The 8,853-nt window shown below is 37.9% G+C and overlaps 1 annotated feature.

Moving 5' to 3' along the window:
- Positions 3,074 to 3,624: an enhancer, noted in NCBI's record as "OCT4-NANOG hESC enhancer chrX:108387340-108387890 (GRCh37/hg19 assembly coordinates)". NCBI's record gives its function as "activates a minimal SCP1, AML or CMV promoter by ChIP-STARR-seq in naive H9 embryonic stem cells {active_cell/tissue: H9 hESC(naive)}" and the evidence as "EXISTENCE:reporter gene assay evidence [ECO:0000049][PMID:30033119]".

Genomic DNA, 8,853 nt, shown 5'->3' on the forward strand with positions numbered 1-8,853 from the left:
CATGATCTTGGCTCACTGCAACCTCTGCCTCCCAGGTGCAAACGATTCTCCTGCCTCAGCTTCCCAGTATCTGGGATTACAGGTGTGTACCACCATGCCTGACTACTGTAATTCAACATAGTACTGGAAGTGCTAGCTAATTCAATGAGACAAGAGAAAGAAATAAAGGGCATCCAAACAGAAATGGAAGAAGTCAAATAACCCTTGTTTGCAGATTATTTGATCTTACATTTGGAAAACCTAAAAAATTCACCAAATAACTATGAAAACTGATAAACAAAGTCAGTTAAGTTGCAGGATAGAAAATCAACATACAAAAATCAGTAGCATTTCTATATACCAACATTGAACAATTTGAAAATAAAATAAAAATAATCCCATTTACAATAGCTACAAATAAAATAAAATTGCTAGGAATTAACTTAACCAAATAAGTGAAAGATTTCTACAATGAAAATTGTAAAACACTGATAAAAGAAATGGAAGAGAACAGCAAAAAATGGAAAAAGAGTTCATGTTCATGGGTTGGAAGAATCACTATTGTTAAATATCCATACTATGCAAAGTAATCTATAGATTCAAATGCAACCCCTATCAAAATACCAATAACATTCTTGTCAGAAATAGAAAACACAATGTTAAAATTTATATAGAACCATGAAAGACCCAGAATGGCCAAAGCTATCCTGAACAAAAAGTACAAAACTGGGGAAAACGCATTGCCTGATTTCAAAATGTATTATGGAGTTGTAATAACCAAAACAGCATGGTACTGGTGCAATAACAGACACATACACCAATGAAAGAGAATAGAGAACCCAGAAACAAATCCACACACCTATAGTGAATTTATTTTTGACAAAGATGCCAAGAACATACACTCGGAAAAAGACAATCTCTTCAATAAGTGGTGCTGGGAAAACTGGATATCCAAGTGCAGAAAAATGAGATTAGACCTTTATCTCTTGCTATATATAAAATTAAATTAAAGTGGACTAAACACTTAAATCTAAGACCTCAGATGATGAAACTTCTAGAAGAAAACATTGGAGACACTCTCCAGGACATTGGTCTGGGCAAAAATTTCTTAAGTAATACATCATAAGCATAGGCAACCAAAGCAAAAATGGACAAACAGGATCACATCAAGTTAAAAAGCTTCTGCACAGTGAAAAAAACAATCAACAAAGTGAAGAGACAACCCACAGAATTGGAGCAAATATTTGCAAACTACCCATCTGAAAAGGGATTAATAACCAGAATATATAAGGACCTCAAACACTCTATAGGAAAAACATCTAATAACTCCATAAAAATGGGCAACTGATTTGAATAGGCAATTCTCAAAAGAAGACATAAAATGGCAGGCATATAAATAAGTGCTTAACATAATTGGTCATAAGAGAAACGCAATTCAAAACTGCAGGTAGATATCATCTCACCCCAGTTAACATGGCTTATATCCAAAAGATAGGCAATAACAAATGCTAGTGAGGATGTGGAGAAAAGGGAACTCTCATACACCGTTGATGGGAATGTAAAGTATTACAACCACTATGGAGAACAGTTTGGAGTTTCCTCAAAAAAACTGAAAATAGAGCCACTGTATGATCCAGCAAACCCACTGCTGGGTATATATCCAAAAGAAGGGCAATCATTATATCAAAGGGATATCTGCACTCCCATGTTTGTTGCAGCACTATTCACAATAGCCAGTATTTGGAGACAACTTAAGTGTCCATCAACAGATAAATGGATAAAGGAAATGTAAATATACACAATGAAGTACTATTCAGTCATAAGAAAGGAATAATTTCCTGTCATTAGCAACAATATGGATGAAATTGGAGGTCATCATGTTAAGTGAAATAAGCCAGCCATAGAAAAGTAAACATCACATATTCTCACTTATTTGTGGGATGTAAACGTCAAAACAATTGAGTACATGGATATAGACAGTAGGATAGTTATCAGAAGTTGTCAAGGGTAGTGGCACGGTCTTCCCTGTTGACCTGTTTGACAGAGCAGAGACAGTCATTATCTCTCTGGGGACATAATACCAATGGCCTAAGAACCACGCTGTCATCCCCCACAGCTCCTGGAGCAAGCCCCGCCCAAGGAGAACCTGAGCTCAGACACACCTAACCCCACACCAACCTGATAGTCTTTCTCTACCCACCCCAGTAGCTGAAGACAGAGCACATAATCTCTTGAAAGGTCTATGGCCTTGCCCACTGCCTGAGAAACCAGAATATGTGTCCAGCTGACCCTAGGGCAAGCTTGTATCTTCCCCATACTACCGCAGCTGATGCTCCCTTGAAAGCCCCACCTCCTGGCCAGAAGCCAAACAACATAAAACCAGTGCACTAAACAAAAATACAAGCAAGGACCCTCACAGAGTCCACTTCACTCCCCTGCTACCTCCACTGGAACAGGTGCTGGTATCCATGGATGAAAGACCTGAAGACAGATCACATTAAAGAATGCTTTGCAGAAACTCCCCAGTACCAGCCTGGATTCCAGGAGCTCCACTGGGTGGACAGACCCAGAAGAGCAAAAACAACCACTGCAGTTCAGCTCTCAGGAAGCCCTGTCCATAGGGGAAAGGGGAGAACACCACATTAATGGGGTACCCTGTGGGACAAAGAAAAAATCTGCAGCCCTTGAGTCCCAGATTTTCCCTCTGGCATAGTCTACTCAAATGAGAAGGTGTTGTGGAAAGTCAGGGACCCCGAACGGAGGGACTGGCTGAAACCATGGCAGAATGAAATGAATTGTGAAGATTTCATGGGCGTTTATCATTTCCCCAATCAATACTCTTATAATTTCCTATGCCTGTCTTTACTTTAATCTCTTAATCCCATCATCTTCATAAGCTGAGGATATATGTCACCTCAGGACCCTGTAATGATTGTGTTAACTGCAGAAATTGTTCATAAATCATGTGTGTTTGAACAATATGAAACTGGGCACCTTAAGAACAGGGTAACAGTGATTTTCAGGGAACAAGGGAGATAACCTTAAAGTCTGGCTGCCTGTGGGCCGGGCAGGACAGAGCCATATTTCTCTTATTTCCAAAAACGGGTTAGATAAATATGGCTGAATTCTTTCCCCAGTAAGGAATATTAATATTTAACAGCCCTGGGAAAAGAATGCATTCCCAGGGGGGCCTCTAAAATGGCCACCCTGGGACTGTCTGCCTTATGCAGATGTAGATAGGGATGAAACACACCCTAGTCTCCTGCAGCACCCCCAGGCTTGGTAGGATTAGGAAATTCCAGCCTGGCAAATTCTAGTCAGACCAGTTCTCTGCTCTTGAAACCTGTTAAGATGTTTATCATGACAATGCATGCACAGCTGGACCTGGAAGTCCATTAGTGATTCTAGTTTTGCCCTGATGTTGTGATCTCACCCTGACCTTCTGCCTTGCGATCTTTTGTTGCCCTTAAAGCATGTGATCTCTGTGACCCATACCCTATTCATACACTCCCTCCCCTTTGAAAATTGCTAACAAAACCTTGCTGGTTTTATGGCTCAGGGGACATCATGGAACCTGCCAACATGTGATGTCTCCCCTGGACACCCAGCTTTAAAATTTCTCTCTTTTGTACTCTTTCTCTTTATTTCTCAGACCGGCCGACACTTAGGGAAAATAGAAAAGGACCCAAGTTGAAATATCAGGGCTGAATTTGACAAATATGACAAAACAAGGTTCTTTAACACCCCCAAAAGATCATACCCACTCACCAGCAATGGATCCAAACCAAGAAAAATATCTATAAATTGCCAGAAAAATAATTCAGAAGGTTGATTATTAAGCTAATCAAGGAGGCAGAAGAGAAAAGTGAAGTCCAACTTAAGGAAATCAAAAGCACGATACATGATATGAAAAAAAAATCTTCAGCAAAACAGCATAAGTAAAAAACAATCAAAACTTCTGGAAATCAAGGCCACACATTGAGAAATGCAAAATGTACTGGAAAGTCTAAGCCATAGACTTGAACAAGCAGAAGAACTTCAGAACTCAAAGACAAGGCTTTTGATTAACCCGATCCATCAAAGACAAAGAAAAAAAAGTTTTAATGAACAAAGCCTCCAAGATGTTTGAGACTATGTTAAACATCCAAACCTAAGAATAATTTGGGTTCCTAAGGAAAAACAGACGTCTAAAAGTTTGGAAAATATATTTCAGGGAATAAATGAGGAAAACATCCCTGATCTTGCTAGAGATCTAGACATCCAAAAACATGAAACTCAAAGAACACTTGGGAAATTCATTGCAAAAAGATCATCACTTAGGCACATAGCTATCAGGTTACGTTTAGTGAAGACAAAGGAAAGAATCTTAAGTGCTGTAAGGCAAAAGTATCAGATAAGCTATAAAGGAAAACTTATCAGATTAACAGCAGATTTCTCAGCAGAAACCCTACAAGCTAGAAGGAATTGGGGGGGTTCCCAATTTTAGTCTCCTTAAACAAAACAATTATCAGCCATGAATTTTGTATCTGGTGAAACTAATCTTCATAAATAAAGGAAAGATACAGTATTTTCCAGATGAACAAATGCTGAGAGAATTCAGCACTACCAAGCCAGCACTACTAGAAGTGCTGAAAGGATCTCTAAATCTTGTAACAAATCCTTGAAATACACCAAAATAGAACCTCCTTAAAGCATAAATCTCACAGGACCTATATAACAATAACACAATGAAAAACACCCAAGATATTCAGGCAACAAATACCATAATGAAAAGAAAAGTACCTCACATCTGAATACTAAAGTTGAATGTAAATGGCCTAAATGCTCCACTTAAAAGATACAGAATGGAGAAGAATTTACCAATTAAGATTCTGCTGTCTGTAGGAGGCTCACCTAATACGTAAGAACTCATGTAAACTTAAGGTAAAAAGGTGTAAAAAGACATTCCATGCACATGGAGACCAAAAGTGAGCAGTAGTAGCTATTCTTATATCAGACAAAACAAACTTCAAAGCAGCAGCAGCTAAAAAAGACAAAAAGGGACATTATATAATGACAAAAGGACTAGCCCAACAGGAAAATACCAAAATCCTCAATACATATGCACCTAACACTGGAGGTCCCAAATTTATGATACAAGTACTACCAGACCTAAGAAATGAGATAGATGGCAACACAGTAATAGTGGGGGACTTTAATACTCCACTGACAGGACTAGACAGGTTGTCAAGACAGGAAGTCAACAAAGTAACAATGCACTTAAACGATCCCCTACAACAAATGTTTTTAACAGATATTTACAGGACATTCTACCCACTAACTGCAGAATAATTATTTTATTCATCAGCACATGGAATATTCTCCAAGACAGATACTATTATAGACCAGAAAACAAGTCTCAGTAAATTTTAAAAATCAAAATCATATCAAGTACTCTCTCAAACCACAGTGGAATAAAATTGGAAATCATCTCCAAAAGGAACCCTCAAAACTATGCAAATACATGGAAATTAAATAACCTGTTCCTGAATGATCATTGGGTCAGATCTTTGACCTGAGTGATAATAGCGACATAACCAATCGAAACCTCTGGGACACAGCAAAAGTGGTGCTAAGAGGAAACCTCATAGCATTAAATGTCTACATCAAAAAGCCTGAAAGAGCACAAATAGACAATCTAAGGTCACAACTGATGGAACTGGAAAAACAAGAACAATCAAAACTCAAATCCAGCAGAAGAAAAGAAATAAGGAAGAGCAGAGCAGAACTAAATGAAATTGAAACAAAACAATAATTAAATGAAACAAAGAGCTGGTTTCTTGAAAAGGTAAATAAAATCGATAGACCATTAGCAAGACAAACCAAGAAAAGAAGAGAGAAGGTCCAAATAAGCCCAATTAGAAACAAAACAGGAGATATTATAACTGATACCCCAGAAATAGAAAAGATTATTCAAGGCTAATATGAACACCTTTATGAGCATAAACTAGAAAGCCTAGAGGAGATGAATAAATTCCTGGAAATATACAACCGTCCTAGATTAAATCAGGAAGATATAAAAACTCTGAACAGACCGACAATGAACAGCAAGATTTAAATGGTAATACAAATATTGCCCATAATAAAAAGTCCAGGACCAGTTGGATTCACAGTTGAATTCTGCCAGGCATTCAAAGAAGAATAGAAGCCAATTCTATTGACACTATTCCACAGGATTGAGAAGGAGGAAATCGTCCTTAAATCATTCTATGAAGCTAGTATCACCCTAATACCAAAACCAGGGAAGGACATAACAAAAAAAGAAAACTACAGACCAATACCCTTGATGAACATAGATGCAAAAATTCTCAACAAAATACAAGCTAGCCAAATCCAACAGTATATTAAAAAGATAATCCTCCATGATCAAGTGGGTTTCATACCAGGGATGCAGGAATGGTTTAACATATGTAAGTCAATAAATGTGATATAGCACATAAACAGAATAAAAACAAAAATCACATGATCATCTCAGTGGATGCAGAAAAAGCATTTGACACAATACAGCATCCATTTATGATTAAAACCCTCATCCAAATCAACATAGAAGTGACACACCTTAAGGTAATAAAAACCATCTATGACAAACCCACAGCCAACATAATATTGAACTAGGAAATGTTGAAAACATTCCCCTTGAAAACTGGAATAAGACAAAAATGCCCACTTTCACCACTTCTATTCAGCATAGTACTGGAAGTCTTGACTGCAGCAATCAGACAAGAGAAATAAATCAAATGCATCTAAGTTGGTAAGGAGGAAGTCAGACTGTTGCTGTTTGCTATGAGATAGTCATATACCTAGAAAACCCTAAAGACTTATCCATAAAGCTCATAAACTGGTAAATGAATTGAGGAAAGTTTCAGGATACAAAATGGATGTACACAAATCAGTAGCTCTGCTATACACCAACAGCAACCAAGCTGAGAATCAAATCAAGAACTCAACTCCTTTTACAATAGCTGCAAAAATAAAACCAAACTTAGGAGTACACCTAACTAAGGAGGTGAAAGACCTCCACAAGGAAAACTATGAAACACTGCTGAAAGAAAGTATAGACAATGCAAACAAATGGAAACATATTCCATGCCCATGGCAAACAGAAACATAAATTGGGGAAATGACATTCTATTCAACAAATGGTGCTGGGATAATTAGCAAGCCACATGTAGAGAATAAAACTGGATCCTCATCTCTCATCTTATACAAAAATCAACCCAAGATGGATCAAGGACTTAAATCTAAGACCTGAAACAGCAAAGATCCTAGAAGATAACATTGGAAAAACCCTTCTAGACATTGGATTAGGCAAAGACTTCATGACCAAAAACCCAAAAGCAAATGCAATAAAAACAAAGATAAATAGATGGCACCTGATTGAACTAGAAAGCTTCTGCACAGCAAAACAAATAATCAGCAGAGTTAACAGACAACCCACAGAGTGGTAGAAAATCTTCAAAATGGATACATCTGACAAGGGACTAATATCCAGAATCTACAAAGAACTCAAATCAGCAAGAAAAAGCAAACAATCCCATCGAAATGTGGACTAAGGACATGAACAGACAATTCTCAAAAGAAGATATACAAATGGCCAACAAGCATATGGAAAAAATGCTTAACATCACTATGTATCAGGTAAATGCAAATCAAAACCACCTTACTCCTGCAAGAATGGCAATAATAAAAAAATTACAGATGTTGGCATGAATGTGGTGAAAAGAGAACATTTTTACTTTGTTGGTGGGAATGTAAACTAGTACAAGCACTATAGAAAACAGTGTGGTGATTCCTTAAAGAACTAAAAGGAATACCATTTGTTCCAGCCATTTCACTACCAGGTATCTGGGATGGTTTGGCTGTGTCTCCACCCAAATCTCATTTCGAATTGTAGTTCCCTTCATCCCAATGTGTCATGGGAGGGACCCGGGGAGGTAATTGAATCATGGGGATGCTTTTCTCATGCTATTCTCATGCTATTCTTGTGCAAGTAAGTTCTTATGAGATCTGATAATTTTATAAGAGGGTTTCCCCTTCGCTTGGCTCTCATTCTTCTCTCTCCTACTGCCATATGAAGAAGAACATGTTTGCTTCTTCATCTGCCATGATTATAAGTTTCCTGAGGCCTCCCCAGCCATGCAAAATTATGAGTCAATTAAATCTCTTTTCTTTATAAATTATTCAGTCTCAGGTATGTCTTTATTAGCATTGTGAGAACAGACTAATACAGTAAATTGTTACCACAGAAAGTGGGGCACTGCTGTAATGATATCTAAAAATATGACAAAGTTTGGATCTTTCTAGAGACTTGGAGGGCTCAGAGGACAGGAAGATGTAGGAAAATTTGAAACTTCCTATAGACTTGTTGAATGGCTTTGACCAAAATTCTGATAGTGATATGGACAATAAAGTCCAGGCTGAGGTGGTCTCAGATGGAGATGAGGAACTTCTTAGGAACTGGAGTAAAGGTCACTCTTGCTATGCAAAGAAACTGGTGGCATTTTGCCTCTGCCCTAGAGATCTGTGGAACTTTGAACTTGAGAAAGATGATTTAAGGTATCTTGTGGAAGAAATTTCTAAGTGGCAAAGCATTCAAGAGGAAACAGAGCATAAAAGTTTGTAAAATTTGCAACTTGAAGATGAGATAGTAAAGAAAAACCCATTTTTCTGGGAAGAAATTCAAGCTGGCTGCAGAAATTGGAGTAAGTGACAAGGAGCCTAATGTTAATCACAATGATAATAGGGAAAAATCTCCATGGCATGTCAGAAACCTTCATGGCAGCCCCTCCCATTACAGGCCCAGAGGCCTAGGAAGGAAAACTGGTTTCATGGTCC

This window comes from Homo sapiens, chromosome X (genome assembly GCF_000001405.40).
Source record: "Homo sapiens chromosome X, GRCh38.p14 Primary Assembly".
Taxonomy (NCBI): domain Eukaryota; kingdom Metazoa; phylum Chordata; class Mammalia; order Primates; family Hominidae; genus Homo; species Homo sapiens.